The sequence below is a fragment of the Homo sapiens genome, chromosome 17, assembly GCF_000001405.40.
Source record: "Homo sapiens chromosome 17, GRCh38.p14 Primary Assembly".
In the NCBI taxonomy this organism is placed as follows: Eukaryota; Metazoa; Chordata; class Mammalia; order Primates; family Hominidae; genus Homo; species Homo sapiens.
Window position 1 is genome coordinate 19959277 of NC_000017.11, and position 22624 is coordinate 19981900.

The 22624-nt window shown below is 42.9% G+C and overlaps 1 protein-coding gene across 5 annotated transcripts in view, besides 2 other annotated features; it reads right to left on the reverse strand.

Annotated features, from left to right (window-relative positions):
- AKAP10 (A-kinase anchoring protein 10) overlaps nucleotides 1-18552 on the reverse strand; it is a 73527-nt gene extending 54975 nt beyond the window's left edge. For all 5 annotated transcript variants that reach the window (XR_007065258.1, NM_001330152.2, NM_007202.4 and 2 more), the window contains exons 1-3: nucleotides 18316-18552; nucleotides 9138-9185; nucleotides 3564-3746 (exon numbers count right to left, since the gene is read on the reverse strand). Coding sequence is in view for 4 of the 5 variants with exons in the window: in NM_001330152.2 (NP_001317081.1) it covers nucleotides 3564-3746; nucleotides 9138-9185; nucleotides 18316-18403 (319 nt within the window). In the remaining variant the exon portion in view is untranslated. The remainder of the gene's footprint in view (nucleotides 1-3563; nucleotides 3747-9137; nucleotides 9186-18315) is intronic.
- Nucleotides 18260-18449: a silencer, noted in NCBI's record as "silent region_8302". NCBI's record gives its function as "represses an Ori minimal core promoter by ATAC-STARR-seq in GM12878 lymphoblastoid cells {active_cell/tissue: GM12878}" and the evidence as "EXISTENCE:reporter gene assay evidence [ECO:0000049][PMID:35858748]".
- Nucleotides 18922-19635: an enhancer, noted in NCBI's record as "H3K27ac-H3K4me1 hESC enhancer chr17:19881511-19882224 (GRCh37/hg19 assembly coordinates)". NCBI's record gives its function as "activates a minimal SCP1, AML or CMV promoter by ChIP-STARR-seq in naive H9 embryonic stem cells {active_cell/tissue: H9 hESC(naive)}" and the evidence as "EXISTENCE:reporter gene assay evidence [ECO:0000049][PMID:30033119]".

Consider the following 22624-nt stretch of genomic DNA (forward strand, 5'->3'; position numbering starts at 1 on the left):
TTTTTGTCTGTCAAATTAGATTTTTTTCAAAAATTATTAAGCAGTAACAAGGGCACAGGAAAATAGGCAACACTCTCATTCGCTGGTCATGAGGATGTAAACTGGCAAAACCTTTTTGGAGGAGCATTCAGGAACAGATAGCAAAGTCTTAGCAAACTGCATTATTTTCAGTCCAGTAATTCCACTTGTAGGCACTTATCCTGAGGGAAAATTGTGGATATATCTACAAAGATGTTATGAACTCAGCATTATTCATTCATAGTAGGTTAAAGAGTAGCTTTGAGATCGTACCTTGAAAAATGAAACTAAACTTAATAAAAAATCATTTATCTTATATTTAACTAAATTTAAATTATAACCACAAGCTAATTGTTAGGAAAGACAAAAAATTTTTTTAAAAATTGGCTTTCATAGCATGATCATAAAGATGGGCATTCTTATAAAACTGACTGAGGGTTTCATCAATTTGTCAAAAGAGTTCTTCTTAATCCATTGATATTCAAATCATTTTTTTGAAGCACGTCGTGTCTTCATCCTCAGTCTTACTGTCAGTGTCAACTAGTTCATCTTTGTCAACATCACAAACTTGAGGAAATTCTGATCTTCTGTGAGGTTTACAATTTCTTTTAATTAAATTCTATGAGATAATGCTAGATTCACATGAAGTTCTAAGATACAATACTGAAAGGGCCAGGCATGGTCGCTCACGCCTGTAATTCCAGTACTTTAGGAGGCTGGGGCAGGCGGATCACTAGAGCCCAGGAGTTCAAGACCGGCCTGGGGAACATAGTGAAACCCCATCTCTAAAAAAATAATAATACCTAGAGATCCCTTGTACACTTTAGTTTCTCCCATGGTAACATCTTGCAAAGCTATAGTACAATATCACTCTAAGATACTGACAGTGATACAACACTCTAACTTGTTCAGATTTCCCCAGTTTTATCTATACTCATTCTTGTTTTTAGTTCTTTGTAATTTTATCACATTGAGATTTCTGCATCCACTGCCAAGATACAACTTCAACATCACAAAGATCCCTCATGTTGCACTTTTATAACTACACCCACTTACCCCTCTCACCTCCCTGTCTCTAACATCTGGCAAACACTAATCTTTTCATTTCTCTTAATTTCTCTATTTCAAGAATATTATCCAAACGGAATCATACTATATGTAGTCTTTAGGGACTGGTTTTTGTCTGACAGCATAATTCCCTTGATATTCATCCAGGTGGTTAAATGTATCAACAGTTTGTTCCTTTTTATTGCTGAATGGTATTCCATGGTATGAATGAACCAGTTCATTCACCTGCTGAAGAACATCCAGTTTTTCAATATTAAGCTGCTATGAACATTTGTGCACAGGTTTTTATTGGAAGGTAAGTTTTCATTTATCTGGGATAAATACAGAGTGCAACTGCTAGGTCATATGGTAATTGCATGTTTCACGTCATAAGAAACCACCAGCCAGGGATGACGGCTCATGCCTGTAATCCCAGCACTTTGGGAGGCCGAGGCGGGCTGATCACCTGAGGTCAGGAGTTCAAAACCAGCCTGACCAACATGGTGAAACCCCATATCTACTAAATATACAAAAATCAGCCAGGCATTATGGCAGGCACCTGTCATCCCAGCTACTCAGGAGGCTGAGGCAGGAGAATAGCTTGAACCTGGGAGGCGGAGGTTGCAGTGAGCCAAAAATTGGGCCACTGCACTCCAGCCTGTGAGACTCCGTCTACAAATAAATAAACAAACAAACAAACAAACAAACAAACTGCCTAGGCCAGGCACAGTAGCTCACGCCCGTAATCCCAGCACTTTGGGAGGCCTACGCAAGTGGATCGCTTGATTCCAGGAGTTTGAGACCAGCCTGGGAAACATGGCGAAACCCCGTCTCTACAAAAAAAAAAAAAAAAAATACAAAAATTAGCCAGGCGTGGTGGTGCATGCCTATAGTCCCAGCTACTCAGGAGACTGAGGGAGGATCACCTGAACCTGAGGAGGGTGAGGCTGCAGTGAGTTGTAATCACGCCACTGTACTCCAGCCTGCGCAACAGAGTGAGACCCTGTCTCAAAAAGAAAAAAAAAAAGAAAGAAAGAAACTGCCTGTTTTCCAGAGCATCTGCACCATTTTAAATTCTCATCAGCAATTTATGAGTGATCTAGCAAAACTTACAATTTTACTCTCTGAGCTATATGCATTTTGTCTGCTATGTATTATTGCTAAGTGTGCCCCACAAACACATTGACACTCTGGTTTGAATATACACAAAAGTAGAGAGAGATGTCAAAAGCAGGACTGATTTTATTAGAAGTCCATTGGTTCATGGATCTTTTTTTCAACTTATGACAACATGACATGCAATTTTCTAAGTGCAGAAATTTGGGTAAGAAATACTGACAAAATAAAGGTCTCCTGCATATGTTTTTGTTTTGGAAGAACTTATTTTAATATAACGGATTTTACCATGCATACTGTGACTTGCTTTTCTCACATTTAAACATGCCTTAGACATTTTCCCACGTCTTTTTTAGATTTCTAAATGGCTACACTGAACCAGGTGTGGTGGTTCACGTTGGTAATCCCAGCACTTTGGGAGGCCTGTGTGGGAGAATTGCTTGAGGCCAGGAGTTTGAGACCAGCTTAGGCAACATAGTGAGACCCTGTCTCTACAAAAAATTAAAAAATTATCTGGGTGTGGTGACACATGCCTGCAGTCCTAGTAACTCTGGAGGCTGAGGCGAGAGAATGGCTTGTGCCCAGGAGGTGAAGGCTGCAGTGAACCATGATCATACCACTGCACTCCAGCCTGGGCAACAGAGTAAAACCCTGTCTCAAGAAAATAAATAAATAGAAACAAATGGCTATATTATACTCCAGAGCATGCGTATACCACAATTTGGTTATTTCCCTATAACAGATATTTATATGTTGTCCATAATTTTTTGCTATCACAAACAATACTATAATGAATAGCCTTCAACATACATACATACATACATACATACATACATATACACACACACACACACACACACACACACATACACACCTGCACATATGAATGAGCATATCTGAGGGCTAGGTCTTAGAAAGAGTGGCCTAAATGACATGCATATTTTATACTGATTTCCAAATTGCTTTCCAAAGAGTCTTCACCAGATTATATTATCACTAAATAGGAGGGGTATTTCCCTGCATCTTCACTGACATTCAAATTGTCAAACTTTAAAAAATATGCTAATGTGTTAGGAGAACATTAACTGATTATTTTAATTTGCACTTCCCTCAGTAATAAAGTGAGACATCTTTTTCATATATTTATATTTAGTGATCAGATATATTTCTTCTGGAAATGCTTGTTTTTCTACTGGGCATGCTTTATATTCTATATTTACAGGAACACAACACAGCTACCCATTATACTTGTAGCTGTTATTTTAAATACATTTTTTCCAAAGCACTTTCCAATTATATAGTTCTGTATCCTATGACAGAAGTTTCACATATTGTACTCAAATCCTTCTAATACAAGTTAATAAAAAATGATAGTTACTTACCCAGGTCACCAAAATGAGCGGCCTCCATGTGGCTTGGCTGCTTCTTAAGTGTGGCTGTCCTGCTACTTGAAAAGGAGTCCATGTTGGCAGAAATGGCATTGATTGCAACATGACTTGGTCCTGCAGCCTCCAGCAAGGCATGATTTTTAGTGCTTTTTTGTGGGGAATGTACGGATATTGAAGCTATAATTTTTCAAAAAATTGTTAAGAATTAAACACAATTTGATAGCCTAAAACTCTCATAAAGGGGCTTTCAGAGAACTTTAAAAATTAAATTTTGTAACATTACTCTTAAGTCAGCATACTCAGCAAAAAATACTTAAGAGGAAAAGTAACTTAATCAAGTGGTGGAAAATAGGAAAGAAAACACTCTTTTTTTTTTTTTTTTTTTTCCCAGACAGAGTCTTGCTCTGTCACCCAGGCTGGAGTGCAGTGGCATGACCTCGGCTCACTGCAACCTCTGCCTCCCATGTTCAAGTGATTCTCCTGCCTCAGCCTCCCAAGTAGCCAGGATTACAGGCATGAGCCACCACACCCAGCCAGAAAACATTCTAATATTATTTATAATTCTCAAAATACTGTGCCAAAAAGTTAAATTAAAAGAGGGAGATCATTCTCTGAGAACTTCTACTGTGGATAAAAAGTAACAAAGCCAGAAAGCATTCTAAAATACGGATTATTTTTAAATCCTTAAACCTTGCTTGCTTTAGGAACAAAACTAAAATTGCAGAATAAATGCTTGGGGTGGGGGGAACCTAGAAAAATATTCCTCAGGCCAGGCATGGTGGCTCATGCCTGCAATCGCAGTACTTTGGGAGGCCAAGGTGGGTGGATCACCTGAGGTCAGGAGTTCAAGACCAGCCTGACCAACATGGTGAAACCCTGTCTCTACTAAAAATACAAAAAATTAGCTGGGTGTGGGGGCAGGTGCCTGTAATCCCAGCTACTTGGGAGACCGAGGCAGGAGAATTGCTTGAATCTGGGAGGCGAAGGTTGCAGTGAGCTGAGATTGCACCACTGCCCTCCAGCCTGAGCAACGGGAGTGAAACTCCATCTCAAAAAAAAAAACAAAAAAAGATAAAGCACACTAAAAATTCATAAAATATATTTTTAGTAGTCTGAAGAAATATCAGTATCACCCCTTTGGCTTCAGAATAAAGATAATTTCAGTCATTCAATAATAGTTGTGGGAATTACAAAATGAAGAGTGACTGTCTTCAAACTATTTTTTCAATGTTAAAAGAAGGTTTATTTTTATTTTCATGAGAAATTGGAGCAAAATAATTTTTAGCTTATTTATAAACAAAAGCCAGTTTTCGTGTTCAGACAAGTACAAGTAAGAGTCTATAGGAATGGTGAGACTCTCGCATTGTTTCTTAATTAGATGTATATAATGTAAAATGCTACTAACTCATTTGTACAAGGCTTTCCCCGGTCCCTCTTAACATCTCTCTTAGAACTAGTAACTTATTTTTACCACTCCTTCCTGATAGTCTATCTTTCTTGGTCTCCATGGTATTATACTCTCCTAATTTCCTCTTCTATCTGCTCATTGCTCTCATTCTTTTAATACCCATTTATCAACACCCAGTGTGTCAGATATAGCCTGCTTCTTTGGCTCCCCTTCTTGAGGCTATCTGTTCTTCTTTTATTCTTTCTGCTAGAAAGCATATTTACTCTCAAATCTTTAATTATTACCAGAGCAATAATTTTCAAACTTTTTAAAAGCTGAAACCTCCTTTGCTTCCCACCAAAATAAACTTAACAAGGGACCGGGTGCAGTGGTTCACGCCTGTAATCCCAGAACTTTTGGAGGCTGAGGCAGGCAGATCACGAGGCCAGGAGTTCGAGACCAGTCTGGCCAACATGGTGAAACCCCATCTCTACTAAAAATACAAAAGAAATTAGCTGGGCTTGGTGGCACAAGCCTGTAATCCCAGCTACTTGGGAGGCTGAGGCAGGAGAATCACTCGAACCCGAGAGGCAGAGGTTGCAGTGAGCTGCGCGATCTCGCCACTGCCCTCCAGCCTGGGCAACAGAGCGAGAATCTGTCTCAGAAAAAACAACAACAACAACAAAAAAGTAATTCTGGCAAATTCAAGGGAAACATCTTACTCACACCCTCCACATGGACTGTTTGCAACAGCTCCTAGGGTACACCTCTGTGGAGCAGATGAAAAAGCCCTGATCTGTATCTGTGACTTGTCTTTGACCTGGGCTTTGGTCTTGTATCACTGATTACTCGCTACTAAGCATTCCCACCCACATTGACTTTACCATCTCAAGCACAATCTGTCTAAATATCAACTTAAAACATCATCATCTGATTCTCCTCTCAATTTCCCTGTCTGTTCAATCCACCAGTCTCCAAAACTCAAAATCTTGGTCCCATTCTTTTTCACTGTTATCTGTTTACTTGCCAAGATTTGTTGACTTTTCCTTCAAGATGTTTAAACATTTACTTACCTGTTTATTTTTAACACCTCACCCTCAGTGCAAGTCTTTCTGTATTATAACAAAAAAACTTCCGGGGTCTCCATCCTGCAAATCTCTTCCAGACTAACCTTTCATAAACACCATACTTACAGCATCAATATCTTGCTCAAAAACCTACAGTGGCTTCCTGCTTCCTCTGTCTCAATTCTCTTTTCTGGTCTTTACAGCCTTCTATACCTTCATCTCAATCTTTCTGTAAAAATCTCCCTCTACTTGTCTGAAGGCCCCTTTGCCCAATATATCCTCAAATAAGAAGCTGGGCTGGTAGGGAGAAGAGAAAGAATCTCTCATTCAAATCTTTCTTATTCTTCAACTTTTATACAAGGTAAGTGTCATTGCCATGAAGTCTTCCCTAAACTTCAGAAATCATTTGTTGATCTCAAATTCCTCTGAATTCCTTGCAGTGCTTCACTCAGTTTGACTAATTCAACAAACTGAAGGCTATGTTAAAACTAGATAATGATAGCTACCAATGGAGGACCTACTATATACCAGGCACTATACGAGTTTCTCTATGTACCTTTTTTTTTTTTGGATATTATTTCATCTATCTCTCAGGACAATCTTGTAAGACCATATTTTCCTCATTTTAGAGATGAAGACAAAAATGAAAACAAGTTGAATACTTTGCCCTAGGTTAATGAGCTAGTAAACAGCCATTTCAACAGGCAGGATTTCAACTTAGGTTTGCTAGACTCTAAAAAATCACTCTCTAACCTTTGGTTTAAAACTCAGACCTTAAAATTACTATGCATATAAAATAACATATATAACATATATAAATGAATGACTCAAAAGCACCTCCCACCCAACATAACAAAACTGAACATATAATTTCCTGTTTTGGTTCTGTTAGGCAAGCCAGAAGGTAGGTATCAATCTTAAATATCCCTCTCTCTCACACCTCATATTTAATCAATAATAAACTTCTATCCATTTTGCCTCCGAATTTTTTTTCAAGTCCGTTCACATCTCTTTACTTCCATCACTACCAATCTAGGCTAAGCCATCTGTGGAATTACTTGATTAATGTTCCTCTCCCCTACTAATCTGTAAGTTCAATGAGGGCAGGACCTAAGTCTTTTTTGTTCACCGTTATAGTCAGTTTTTGTCTAATGCCCAGAACAGAAGAAGTGTTCTATAAATGGCAGCTATTATTATTTTGGTCTATTTGCTACTGTTCTGTGTATAAGTTTGTCTTTCTAACCAGACTGCAAACATCTTGAGGGGCTGTTTCTTGTACTGCTTCTGTATTATCCTAAGGATAAGTCAGTGAATGTTAAGCACAGATTATGTACTTCATAATCAGAGTATAAGCACAGAATTTTTTAGCCCAGTAGAGATTTAGAAATTAGCTAGGCCAATCCCCCCATTCAACAAATGAAGAATCTGAAGAAAGTTACAACTTCCCAAGGTCATACTGTTAGTGGCAAAGTTTAGAGTGGAAGACTGGTGTTCTCACTGCCTGAAACATCTAAGTTCCTTCCTTCTACTACAGTCAGATCTAGTCTTTACAGGTCTCTGCTTGAGAAGGGCTTTAAGCCTTTATCACTGCCAATCAAGTTTTGCTCAAAGAAGGCAGTTTGAACTAATGTGGAATCTAACTGGCTTTACATAAGAAATAAGTAAACTAGGCTGTAAGGTACCTTACTTTTTTCCCTAATTTTACAACTTGCCTAAGTTATAATTAGTCTTCTTCTCCAGCAAATTGAGCATATAGAATAAATACTCAGTGCAAGCAATACAACATAAAAACATTTGAAGGAAAAATCTAAATAAGTAGCAATCTACAGATTTTATGGAAATAAATTGATGAAATTAATATGTAATGACTATGGAAACAATTTCCATTATAATTTTCCCACTTCAATCTCTGTACACTGGACAAATAAAATCAGTGAGTAATACAGCATCTTTAAAAAGCATGCTCTAATCTATAAACAAGGACAATGTATCGATCCCAACAAAAAATAAACAAAATATATTTTAAATTAAGGTTGTTCATTCAAATAAAAAAGTAAAAACTGTAATCAACCATACTTCTGGATAAATGACAGAAAACTAAGCCTTATAAGTGTCAGTGCTTTCCTACAGTTAACAGACTGCTCAGTTAAGAGTATTCTTCATTTTTTGTCTTACTAAATAAATAAAGTGAACTAATCACTTTTAGGGAACAATTAAATGTGTGATTAATAAGAAGGGCACTGGTTCACTGTAATCACTAGGATAGCCAATACACACAAGGCTCAGTAAAAGCCTACTTATGGCCAGGCATGGTGGCTCACGCCTGTAATCCCAGGACTTTGGGAGGCCAAGGCGAGTGGATCACTTGAGGTCAGGAGTTTGAGACTGGCCTGGCCAACACGGTGAAACCCTGTCTCTACTAAAAATACAAAAATTAGCTGGGCATGGTGGCGGCCACCTGTAATCCCAGCTACTCGGGAGGCTGAGGCAGGAGAATCGCTTGAACCCGGGAGGTGGATGCTGCAGTGAGCCGAGATGGCACCACTGCACTCCAGCCTGGGGATAAGAGCAAGACTCCATCTCAAAAAAATAAAATTAAGGTAAAAAAAGCCTACTTACGGCCGGGTGCGGTGGCTCACGCTTGTAATCCCAGCACTTTGGGAGGCCGAGGCGGGCGGATCACAAGGTCAGGAGATCGAGACCATACTGGCTAACATGGTGAAACTCTGTCTCTACTAAAAAATACAAAAAATTAGCCAGGCGTGGCGCCGTGCACCTGTAGTCCCAGCTGCTGGGGAGGCTGAGGCAGGAGAATGGTGTGAACCCGGGAGACAGAGCTTGCAGTGAGCCAAGATCGCGCCACTGCACTCCAGCCTGGGTAACAGAGCAAGACTCCGTCTCCAAAAAAAAAAAAAAAAAAAAAGCCTACTTATTATATGCTAGATGTTAAAGCATTATACAGGTTAAAGAGGGAAATAAATCAAAATCATAAGTAATTATAAAATAAGGCAGAAATGATTAATGCCAAAAGAGAGAGTATAACAGGATTAAAGAACTCACAAATGCAAAGCACATCACTTTTTAATGCAGTGGACTGCCAAGGGCAGAACTTACCTTTAATGGACTTCACATCTGAGGTCTTCTCTTGTTCTTTGCCTTTCACTAGAACATAAAAAGATAATTATGACCAACTTTTGCAGTCAGAGATCCATTCTATAACACTGTAAAAATTAGACCAGCTTTATTCTAAGATGAGTATTCAAAGTTCTAGAACAATGGACAGCCTTGGAGGAGGGCACAGGAGGGTAGTTGTCAGCAAAGGCTTCTCTAAGGAAGTGACCTTGGAACAGCATCCAGTCAAAAGAGTTGAACCTGCTTATGGAGAGACAATGTAGTCACAACATCTGGGGTCAAATTCTGGCTCTACCACTTATAAGCCATGTGATCTTGGACAAGTTACTTACTTCTCTGGGTCTTAATTTTCTTGATTTATAAAATTAGGTCAATAATAAAAACTACCTTAGAGGATTATTGATGAAAAAAAATATATACCTGTAAGGGGCTTAGAAGAGTAACTAGCACAGTAAATTGAGGACAAATGCTAACCAATATTATTACCATGTGTCATCCATAGTACTAGCTACTAGAAGCATAGTGAAGAAAGGTCTTTGGTTGTGTATCATATCTTATTACTTATTCCTCCCATAGCATCAAGTGAAAACATCCTAAGCCTCTAACACTCAGAGTATAATAATTTGTCTGGGCCAGGCACGGTGGCTCACGCCTGTAATTCCAGCACTTTGGGATGCCAAGGCGGGTGGATCACCTGAGGTCAGTAGCTCAAGACCAGCCTGGCCAACATGGTGAAACCCCATCTCTACTAAAAATACAAAACAATGAGCTGGGTGTGGTGGCGGACACCTGTAAGCCCAGCTACTTGGGAGGCTGAGGCAGAGAATTGCTTGAACCCAGGAGGCGGAGGTTGCAGTGAGCCGAGATCGCGACACTGTACTCCAGCCTGGGAGACAAAGAGAGACTCCGTCTAAAAAAATAAAAGATAAAGAATAATTTGTCTGTAAAATAATCATATAATTGCTTCCTTACTACATAAAACAGTAAAAATTCTGCTGTAGATAAGCTAATATGACATCCAAGATAGGAAGGTGCCCAGCAGCTTAAGCCAAGTGTGAATTCTATCACAGGATCTGACATAAGACTATTTTTAACCCTCTTTTCTTGTTTTTTTTTTTCAACATTAAAAAATCTTACCAGGAAAAGGTTATCAAAATAAGAAATGCCAAAACGTGCCCATCTCTGTATTTGTGCTCTTAAACATTGAAAGGTGAAAGGCTAGTAGCAGGAAATAACTCGCCCTCAGAGTATCTGGATGAAGTCAATACATCAACTGTTGAGTGCTTGGTATGTGCCAGACATGCTCCCAGCTCAGAAAAGGCAATGATTTTGCCTTCAAAAAGTCTACATTCAAGTGTGTGGAGACTAACATGAAAAAAATAAATAAGATCGTTGCAGGTACTGATCACTGCTGTCAGGAAGACGACATTTAAAAATGTTGTAGGGTCACTGGTGTTTGCAGCCCTCTCAGCAGCATCTGCCCATGGACTACATCACTCACTTTAAACATTAACTTGTCTTGGCTTCCTTGACTCCTCTCTTCTGCATATACATCTGTATTTCCTGGCTGATCCTACCCATTCTTAAGGCTTACAATACCATAGATACGCTGTTACTCCTAAATTTATATCTCCATCCTAAATCTTTTATCTCAAATTCATATAGCTAACCACCTACCTGCCATCTTCCATAATTCCACTTGTCTAAAAGGGAACATGTCATCTTCTCCCAAACCTGTTCCTACCTCAGTCTTCATCTTCCCTCATGAATGACACTGTCATCCACCCACTACTCAGACCAAAATTCCGGAAGTCATCCTTAACATGGTCTGTTTATTACCTTCCACATACAAACTATGACCAACTGATTCTACTGCCAAAACAAACCACCACGGTTCCACTTTTACCACCTAAAAACATTCTCCTACTATCAATCAGATCTCCTATGTTATACTTCTAACATATACACAACTCAACAATCAAATATCAGCATTTTGCTTTATTTCCTTCTGTCCCCCTAAGTATTATACATAGACTTTAGAGTTCCTATGAATCACCACCTGACCCTTCCTTTCCCAGATATAAATACTTACTAAATTAGATATTTCCTGGCCAAGCGCAGTGGCTCACACCTGTAATCCCAGGACTTTGGGAGGCCAAGGCGGGTGGCTCACTTAAGGTCAGGAGTTCGAGACCAGCCTTGCCAACATGGTGAAACCCTGTCTCTACTGAAAACACAAGAATTAGCAGGGTGTGGTGGCGGGTACCTGTAGTCCCAGCTACTTAGAAGGCTGAGGCAGAAGAATCGCTTGAACCCGGGAGGCCGAGATTGCGGTGAGCTGAGATTACACCACTGTACCCCAGCCTGGGTGACAGAGCAAGACTCTGTCTTAAAAAAAAAAAAATAAATAAATAAATAAAGACATTTTCCTTCCATGTACGTTTTTTGACTATGACCACATACAAATACTTTTTATTTTTATTTTTTTGAGACACGGTCTTGCTTTGTTGTCCAGGCTAGAGTGCAGTGGCCTGATAACACTCGAACTCCTGGGCTCAAGTGATCCTCTCATGCCACCATACCTAATTATCCTTTCTGTTGTTGAGATGGGGTCTTGCTATCTCGCCCAGGCTAGTCTTGTACACCTGGGCTCAAGTGATCCTCCTGCCTCAGCCTCCCAAAGTGCTGGGATTACAGGTGTGAGCCACCACACCCAGCCAAACGTGTATATATATACATGTATGTGTATTTTTTTTAATGGCATTATTCTGCACATCTTTAAAAATCACGCAAATGGCTGAGCACGGTGGCTCACGCCTGTAATCCTAGCACTTTGGGAGGCCAAGTTGGGTGGAACACTTGAGGTCAGGAGTTCAAGACCAGCCTGGCCAACATGGTGAAACCCTGTGGCCACTAAAAATAGGAAAATGAGCTGGGCATGGTGGTGCATGCCTGTAATCCCAACTACTCGGGAGGCTGAGGCAGGAGAATCACTTTAACCCAGGAGGTGGAGGTTGCAGTGAGCTGAGATCACGCCACTGCACTCCAGCCTGGGCAACAGAGTGAGACTCCATCTCAAAAAAAAAAAAAAAATTAATTACACAAATGACACTCTATACATATCTGACCTGTATTCATTCAATAATCTGACATGACTATTGAACCAGTTCTAGTTCATTCACGCAGCTCTAGTTTATTCATTTTAGCTACTTAATTGTTTTATAAATATACCTTTACTCATTTTCCTGTTAATGAACATTTACTTTATTTCCTAATTTTCACTTAAACATTCAACTAGTGAACATTCTAGTACACGTCTTCCTATGCATATAAGCAAGAATTTCTCTAGGATAAGCCTCTAGACATGGAATTGCTAGGTAACAAATTATGTGCATTTTTTTCAGCCAGGAGCATTGGCTCACGCCTCTAATCCCAGCACTTTGGGAAGCAGCTCACCTGAGGTCAGGAGTTCGAGACCAGCCTGGCCAACATGGCAAAACCCTGTCTCTACTAAAAATACAAAACTTAACCGGGCGTTGTGGCATGTGCCTGTAATCCCAGCTACTCAGGAGGCTGAGGCAGGAGAATTGCTTGAACCCAGGAGGCAGAGATTGTGGTGAGCCGAGATCATGCCACTGCATTCTAGCCTGGGCGACATAGACTGTCTCAAAAAAATAAATAAAAAACAAATTATGTGCATTTTTAATGAAAGTGACTGTACCATTCCATGCACTCATATAGCCATGCTTCATATTCTCATCCTTGGTATTTTTAATTTTGCCAACTTACTAGTTTTGAAATGGCATTTGATGTTTTTAATTCATTTCCTTGTTTCCTTTGAGGTTAAACATCCTTTCATGTTTATTGGTCATTTTGGCTTCCTCTTTTGTGAACTGCCTCTTCATGTCCCTTGTCTTTTACTTATTACTTGCAGAAATTCCATACACGTCCTGGATGTAAATCTTCTCTTCTAGAAGTATCTTAGGTATACTTTATTGTATGAAAGTTTTAGGTTTTTTGCTTTGTTTTGTTTTGTTTTTTTGAGACGGAATCTCACTCTGTCGCCCAGGCTGGAGTGCAGTGGCGCGATCTCAGCTCACTGCAAGCTTCGCCTCCCGGGTTCAGGCCATTCTCCTGCCTCAGCCTCCCAAGTAGCTGGGACTACAGGCGCCCGCCACCACGCCCGGCTAATGTTTTGTATTTTTAGTAGAGACGGGGTTTCACCGTGTTAGCCAGGATGGTCTCAATCTCCTGACCTGGTGATCTGCTCACCTCGGCCTCCCAAAGTACTGGTATTACAGGCGTGAGCCACCGCGCTTGGCGAAAGTTTTAAGTTTTAACGTAGTCAAATTTACACAACATGGATTATATTTTCCTGTGTCTTATTTTAAGCAATATCCCTTCCTATCCTGAGATCAGGATTGTTCCCCCTACCTGTTCTTCTACATGACTTCAAGTTTTGTTTTTTTAACATTCCAGGCTCTTATTTACCTGGAATTTGTTTCTGCATCAGGGATTGGCAAACTACAGCCCATGGGCCAAATACAACCCACTACCTTTTGTTTTGTTTTGCTTTAAGACTCCGTCACCCTGGCTGGAGTGCAGTGGTGCTATCTCAGCTCACTGCAACCTCTGCCTCCTGGGTTCAAGTGATTCTTGTGTCTTAGCCTCCAGAGTAGCTGGAATTATAGACACCCACCACCATGCCCAGCTATTTTTTGTATTTTTAGTAGAGACAGGGTTTCACCATGTTGGCCAGGCTGGTCTCAAACTCCTGACCCCAAGTGATCCATCTGCCTTAGCCTCCCAAAGTGCTGGCCATGCCTAAACTGGCCCACTACCAGTTTTTGTAAGTAAAGTTTTATCGTAGCACAGCCATGCCCATTTGTTTACATATTGTCTATGGCTTCAAGGATAAAGGAGAGTGTGACAGAAACCATATGGTCTGGAAAGCCTAAAATATTTATGATTTGGCCCTTAACAGAAAAAGTCTGTTGATCTGAGATATATGAGAGGAGGCAGGAAATTATTTTTTGCCAGATGATGGATAACTAGCATCATTTACAGATCAGTCTATCTTTTCCCAACTAGGAACTCTATATCCGAAATTCCCAATATACCTGGGTCTGTTTCTGTGCATTTGTTTTGAATATATACCATAAGTATCAAGAATGGAATGGAAACCAAATGGAAGCCTATGGCAAAATAATGCTGCCTCCTCAATCTTTATAAAACCAGCTCCCTCTTGACATTTAAGCTAAGATTTGAATGTCATCTCCTTAGAGGACATCCTTAACCACTCAATCTTAACAGAGATGACTGCCTAGACCAGGGTGTTAATTGTCACAGATGGTGAGACGTGGTAGGATTTCGATATGTGTGAGGTAGACCTAACAGATTTGCTGATGGATCAGATATAGAGTAGGAGGAAAGAAGAGGTTCAAAGATGTACTAAAGTTTTGGGCTGAGCAACTAAAAATCCAAAAATGCAGCCGGGAGCGGTGGCTCATGCCTGTAATCCCAGCCTTTGGGAGGCCGAGGCAGGCAGATCACCTGAGGTCAGGAGTACAAAACCAGCCTGACCAACATGGTGAAACCCTGTCTCCAAAAATTAGCTGGTCATGGTGGCGCATGCCTGTAATTCCAGCTACTTGCGAGGCTGAGGCAGGAGAATCACTTGAACCCAGGAGGCGGAGGTTGCAGTGAGCCAAGATCCGCCACTGCACTCCAGCTTGAACGATAAGAGCGAAACTCCATCTCAAAAAAAAGAAAAGAAAAAAAGCCAAAATACTACTTCTTGAGAAAAACTGATGAGCAGGTTTAAAATGACTAAATCTGGCATAAAATTTTAGATATTGTAAGTTGAAGGTATCTACTGGATTAAGCTTGTCCATCCCGCGGCCCAGGATGGCTCTGAATGTGCCCAACACAAATTCGTAAACTTTCTTAAAACATTATAAGTTTTGCGATTTTTTTTTAGCTCATCTGCTATTGTTAGCGTTAGTGTACTCTATGTGTGGCTCAAGACAATTCTTCTTCCAATGTGGCCTAGGGAAGCCAAAAGACTGGACACCTCTATATTGGTCAGGTAGAGATACAAACTGAACCTAAAGTTGGATATACCAGTCTGGATTCAGGGGCAAGGATCCAACGTAGTGATGTAAATTTGGGACTCAATGCATTGATGGTATTTAAAGTCTGAATCGAATCCCTAACAGGACCATCTCCAGCTTCTACTCTTACCACATCCAGCCTCCAAAAAGCACCTAGAATGATTTTTTTTTTTTTTTGAGACAAGATCTCACTGTGTTGCAGTGGTGGGATCATAGCTTACTGCAGCCTCAAACTCCTGGGCTCAAGTGATCTTTCTGCTTCAGCCTCCTGAATAACTCACAACACCCAGCTATTTATTTTTTCTTTTTGTAGAGATGGAGTCTCTCTATGCTGTACAGGTTGATCTCGAACTGGCCTCAGGTGATCCTCCTGTCTCAGCCTCCCAAAGCCCTTGATTACAGGCATGAGCCACCATGCCCTAGAATGATCTTTTTAAGATATAAGTTCAGATCACTCCTCTTTCAAAATTTTAAATTAATATTCTTTCTGTATTTTGTTTGACACATGGTCTCACTTTGTCATCCAGGCTGGAGTGTAGTGACTCAAATATGGCTCATTGTAGCCTCCACCTCCTAGGCTCAAGTGATCCTTCTGCCTCAGCCTCCTGAGTAGCTGGGACCACAGGTGTGCACCATCATACCCAGCAATTTTTTAAATGTTTTGTACAGGTCTCATGTTGCTCAGGCTGGTCTTGAACTCCTGGGTTCAAGCTATATTCCTGCCTCGGCCTCCTAAAATACTGGGATTACAGATATGAACCACCATGTTTGGCATCTCGGCATTAGGAATAAAACCTAACCATGGCCCGTAGAGCTCTCAATCACCCAACACTTGCCTACATCTATGCTCCAGTCACAGTAGCCTTCTTTCCTCTCTTGAAGGGCACCATGCTCTTTCTTGCCTCCTGGCCTTTGAACATGCGATTCCCTGGCCTCTCTAGTTACCTCCTACTGATCCTTCAGCTCTAAGTTTCAAGGTCACCTGCTGAGTCCTCTAACATCTAACCAAAATGCATTTCTCCTCTTAATCTTTCATAACACTTTACTCAACTTGTAAGTATACACCTATACACACACACTTACATGGAGCGAAAGGGAGAAGAGAGAAGATTTGTTTGCTTATTTATTATCTGTCTACCCCAGTAGACAATAAGCTCCATGGGTGCAGGGACATTCTCTGGTTCACTACTCAATCGTGAGGGCCTAGCACAGCACCTGGCAGACTCTGGACACTCAAAAGGTATTTGTTGAATAGAGACAACAGTCTCTTGTGCAATATGCAGTTTGCCTCATTATTCTTAGAATGTTTTCCCCCCTTAAAAAAACAAAAGTTAACCACTTCAATACCAATAAATTAGAGAGCTATTAGGTATACCCCTGCCTTACCAATAAAGCTTCCTCCTACTATTTTACCGGTTTCATTCATTAAGCACTTTCATGCATTCATCACCTGGCATCAGTTACCAAAACCGTGTACCCACTTAAGAAGAAGTATTTAAAGTCATTCAGAGTTCAATGGGCCTTTGGGAATCATCTAATTCTCAGCTGACAGAAGACAGAAAAGTAGGTTAACTGGTCTGCCCCTGTTACAGTTAGCAGCAGAGCTGTCATATGAAACCAAGTTCGATTTTGTTTAGTGCTTTTTCCAAAACCCATTTCTGGCTGGCCGCGGTGGCTCATGCCTGTAATCCTGGCACTTTGGGAGGCCGAGGTGGGAGGCCCACTTGAGGTCAGGGGTTCAAGACCAGCCTAACATGGTGAAGCCCCGTTTCTACTAAAAATACAAAAATTAGCCGGGCATGGTGGGGCATGGGTAATCCCAGCTACTTGGGAGGCTGAGGCAGGAGAATCGATTAAACCTGGGAGACAGAGGTTGCAGTGAGCCGAGACTGAGATCGCGCCATTGCACTCGAGCCTGGGCAACAAGAGCGAAACTCCGTCTCAAAACAAAAAAAGAAAACAAAACCCATTTCTGTCTGGTACTTTTTTTTTGAGACGGAGTTTCGCTCTTTTTGCCCAGGCTGGAGTGCAATGGTGCTATCTCGGCTCACCGCAACCTCCGCCTCCCAGGTTCAAGCGATTCTCCTGCTTCAGCCTCCCAAGTAGCTGGCATTACAGGCATGCGCCACCACCCTGGCTAATTTTGTATTTTTAGTAGACACGGGGTTTCTCCATGTTGGTCAGGCTGGTCTTGAACTCCCGATCTCAGGTGATCCACCCGCCAAGCCTCCCAAAGTGCTGGGATTACAGGCGTGAGCCACCGCGCCCGGCCTCTGTCTGGTACATTTTATCTGAAGCAACAGGAATTGACAGGAAAAATCACTGCTGTCCACAGACCCATACTTGCTCACTTCGGATATGTATTTTTAATGAAGTGCAACAACGTTACCCAGAATCAAAATTAAGCTGTTTCTACGTAAACATTGGGCAGGTAATACAACTGGAAATCAAAAATGTAAGTAGTTCGTTTGTAAGTTAGGGTTCCAGTAGTTAGCAAACTTGCCAAAGTCATCAAAAGTAGTGGTCTTCCTGTTGGGGAACTTTAGCAATAAGTAATTTTATTTTAGTAACAGCAGTAACTACCCCTCCCCCCAAAGAGGAAATTGGAAGACAGCACTGGGTGAAGAAAACAATTTTTTCACGTGTTGCTTTTAGACATAAAACCCTCAACATTTGGAAACTTCAGACTTCCATAATAAGGTTCTAAAGAGATTTCCTTGATCTTGATCCACGGTCCTCAAAGAAACACAAAAAAACTAACCCCCACCTAAGAACTGTTCTTAACCAAACAGGCAGGAACTTCTATGGGCTTTAGCAATCGCTTCTGAACCAGCGCGACAATACTCCTCTGACCTCGCGCAAGAAGGCCACCTTCTCCCTCCCAGAAGAGTCCCGGAGCAGAGCAAGGCACTCAGGGGGCATCTGCGCCGAGGTCGAGGCTCGCTGAAGGCCTTGCTGCCGCCTTGGGGAAAGCCCTCGCAGGCCCACCTGCCCCACCGCCGCCCCTGAGGCCCGGCCTGACTCCCCGCCGGCGCCCCCTCAGCTACCTTTCCGCCGGAAGAAGGACATGGCGGGGCCCGGGTCGGGACGGAGGGTGCGGGGGGACTGGCGCGGGGAGGGCCCGGCTCCCCTCATTCAGCAACCGGCCCGGACTTCCGGGTCCAGAGGGGCCGCTGCACTAGCGCGAAAAGGGACCCTTCTTCCGGGAGTGGGCCCCACCGCCTCCTCGGGATGCCCAGGCAGCTCCAGCCGCCATATTATCAACAAGCCGCCCGCCCGGAGTTCCGGTCCTTCCCCGCGCTAGGCTTCACGGGAGGTCAAGCGCCGGCCCCGCCCCTTTTCCCCATCCCCCTCCCGCGGGTGCAGGGGCGCACGCCCGCATCGCCCACGTGACCCGCGCGTGCTACCCGCGCCTCTTTCCCGGGCCCTGGGTGCCTGGAGCGAGCCACCGTTCCTGCAGCTGTTTTGTGGCGTCTGTCGCCGGCCCCCGGTGGAGCGCTGCAGACCCAGTCTCTGCAAAACTAACTCCCTGGGGCGGGAGCCCTCCCAGCAGCTGGAACGGGGCGGGCCTTAGGTCCCCGGCTTCCGGCCCCTGGGTACCCTTCAAATTGTGCCCTTCTAAAAGGCAGGGTCAACCCTGCCACGCTCCAGCTCGACCCCTCCTGCTCCTCCGTTTGAGTTTTGCTCACAGGCGCTGGCCGGCACGAGCAGCTTCACCCTGCACCCCAGTCCCTGCTTCCTCAGGAGAACCCGCCACGGCCTGCGGGTTCGAGGCGATGCAGAACCCTGATTAGGAAAAGGCACAACCTGCCGCATGCGGAACCAGCAGCTCCCTGGATCATTAGCGAATGAAAAGGGGAAGCGGGCTTATTTCGGAGTGCAGTCCCTGCGAATGCTCAACTTTGTAAGGGACTGCAACATAAAAGCCTCGCCAGTATTTAAAAGCTAGCTCCAGTGAATCATCCTTGCTCAAATGCCATTTTCCTGTGAATCTTCTGACCCTCTACTCCCAAAGCAAAATCAATCAAGCCTCCCTGTCTTTGGTGCTTCTTAACACCCGGCGAGTGCGCTCAGCGGCTGAGGTTGTAACTGCTCCCTGGGGTTGGGGTTGGGGAGGGCAGGAAGGTAATAGTAACTCAATAAATGTTCGCTGGGGTTTTTAAACCAATGAAGTTTATCATGTGACGGATGGGGAAACAGGCCCAGAAGAGACAACTAGCCCAAGATTGTTCAGAATGTTAGAAATACCAAAATTGTTAGAAATAGATAATCGGTGCCACGAAGAAAAGTCAGCACGGAGACAAAAGATCTCCAGCAAGGCAATCTTTACTTTCTGCAGAAAGGGTGCTCAATCGCAGATGGAACGATGTCGAGAGCACACCTGAACAAAGGAAAAGCAAACATATTTATCCCTTACGCATTTGGGTCGTCCTCACTGCTATGTCCTGCATCCATTGGCTGGAGCGGGACCTCACACTCTTAAACTGATAGCCGATTTGCTAATAGCCTAAAACTTTCTAAATAGGTAAGTGCAAGGAAGAACGAAGAAGGAGAGGAAGTTGCTTACCGAAAGGTTTAAGGAAGCAATAACATTTCCAAATAAGGAAGGGGCATAGGCTGTGAACTGGAACGTGCCTGTGAGCATGTCCAACAGTTACATAGGATAGGGCTTAACAAAGAGTTATTAGCACAAAGCAAGGAGGCTTGAAGAAAGTTAGTCTTTAAAATAAACTATTACTTCTAACACTTATGATGTATTCTTTAACAAGAAGGGGAACTTTGAAGAGGAAACTTTTTACTTTCTACAAGAATGTCCAAGTTTAAGACTATAACTAGAACCCGAAATAGGCAAATCCCTTAACCTGCTCTAATAATAATATGGTCTTTTCACTATATTGTTAGAGCAGGTTAAAAGATTTACTTATTTCATTTCTGGCCAGATGCAGTGGCTTATGCCTGTAATCCCAACACTTTGAGAGGCTGAGGCAGTCAGATCACCTGAGGTCAGGAGTTAGACCAGCCTGGCCAAGATGGCGAAACCCCGTCTCTACTAAAAATACAAAAATTAACTGGGCGTCGTGGCATGCCTGTAGTCCCAGCTAATCAGGAGGCTGAGGCAGGAGAATCTCGAACACGGGAGGTGGAGGTTGCAGTGAGCCAAGATCGCGCCACTGCACTCCAGCCTGGGCGAGAGGAAGACTCCTTAAAAAAAAAAAAAAAAAAGATGTGCCTATTTCGTTTCAGAGCATGGCATGTTTGCAAGTGCATGAAAGGTAACCAAAACTGACATGGAAATTTACTATGCGACGGTACTGTGCTAAACCCTCCAGATGAGTAATAGTCCTTGGAGTCAGTCCTGGTATCTGGAAAACTAGGCACTGAAAAATAAAGTCAACTGCTCAAGGTCACACGCTAACTAGGGATGAAGCCTGGATTTCAAGGTGAAGCCTTTCTCCAGTTAAGGACAGCGCGTCCAGGCGCACTGGACGGAAGCAGCGCTGGCAGAGGCTCCGGACGTCCGGAGTGAGCTGGCGCCGAATGGACGCGGTCTGGCCGCTTCCTCCTGGCCTCGGCCGGGCCTGCACCGGGAGGCTGAGCGGCGCCCCACCAGGGATCCGAGATGCCCTCGGGAGCCAATCTGTGTTCTTGGCGGACCACACCCCGCTGTCTGTAGCCAATAAAACCTTGGATCGTGCATCCCACCCCCACCAAAGGGAGATTGGCTGAAGCCAAGGACCCGGGCGCGGTCTACGTGGGATTTCTCTGCAGGCTGAGGGGACAAGTGGCTGTGTCTACCAGGGGCCCAAGTACAGGGCATCAGCAAGAAAGCGCAGCGCCCTTCTCCTGTTCCCTTCCAGCGTGCAGAACCTCGCAGGGGCTATTTTGTATGTGTTGTGTGGTTAGTTGGATGGGGCGGGAGGGACGTAGGGGAGGGGAGAGTGCGAGAAATCCCCTGAATGTCTCTGGCACGGGAGCAGATCCCACAGAGTTGGAGGCGGAGGACTCTAAGTTCCTCTAAATCTCCTCTAAGCCTTCCTCATTCTCTCCAGCTAAGCAGTCTGTGCAGAAGCAGTGCCTCACCTCGACTTCCAGTGTGATTTGCTGCCTTTGAGCCCTGCCCACCAGAAATTCTGAAGTCGCCGTAATCCCCGACAGCTGCATACACCTCAGTCATGATAATGGCCGTCATTATTTATGAAGTACTTATTATGCGCCCTCCTTGTATTAAGTGCTTTACAATTACTAGCTCACTTAATCCATAATTCCTGCCCTTCCCCGAAAAGAGACCCTGTGAGATGGCTGCCATCGCAACCCCCAATTTACAGATGTGGCCCTGAGGATCGGGGTAACTTATGTAGGATCATGAGGCTGTTAAGAGGTAGAGACAGGATTTCAATCGCTGTCAATCAGACTCCAAAGCCATTTGCTTATACCACTTTCTCCTATCTTTCTCTCCACCCACACATTTATCCAGGGTCCCAAAATGGGATGTCTGTCGGGCAGGTATATGGGGGTGAATGATATCTGGCAGTACATATTCTTCGGGTACCTTCTGAATCATCACCCATTAAAATGTTTATATGCTTAGGGAAGCTTGCTGCTAAGAGTATTGTCATTTAATCTTTTGAAATTTGATGATCCACATATGAGTAAAGTTAAAAGAAGAATTTAAAAATAACAAGAATATTACATTAGGCTGAATACGCAGCTGTGGCAAACTAATACCCTGCATTGTATTTCTGAATTAACTTCATAAAGTCATTTTAGTTTACATGTAAGATAAAATTAATTTTTATCAGGAGTTCCTTTAATTATGCTCCTAATTTTTGGGAACCGTCACAGTGTTGTTTTGTTTTATGTGTTTTTTTTCTTTTTTTTTTTTAGACGGAGTTTCGCTCTTGTTGCCCAGGCTGGAGTGCAATGGCGCGATATCGGCTCACTGCAACCTCCACCTCCCGGGTTCAAGTGATTCTCCTGCCACAGCCTCCCGAAGAGCTGGGATTACAGGCATGCACCACCACGACCGGCTAATTTTGTATTTTTAGTAAAGATGGGGTTTCACCATGTTGGTCAGGCTGGTCTTGAACTCCTGACCTCAGGTGATCCGCCTGCCTCAGCCTCCCAAAGTGCTGGGATTATAGGCGGGAGCCACCATGCCCGGCCTCGTCACAGTCTTTTTATACCAGTTGTATTAATTACAACAAATCAGTGAGGTAAAATCAGTAAGTTAATTATCACAAATCCAGTGAATGGTTTAATCTAACATTGTTTAAAAATCAATGAATAGTATTCTACAACAAACATTCTAACAAATATAGTTTATCAAACATTCATAACTTTTTTTTTCGAGACAGA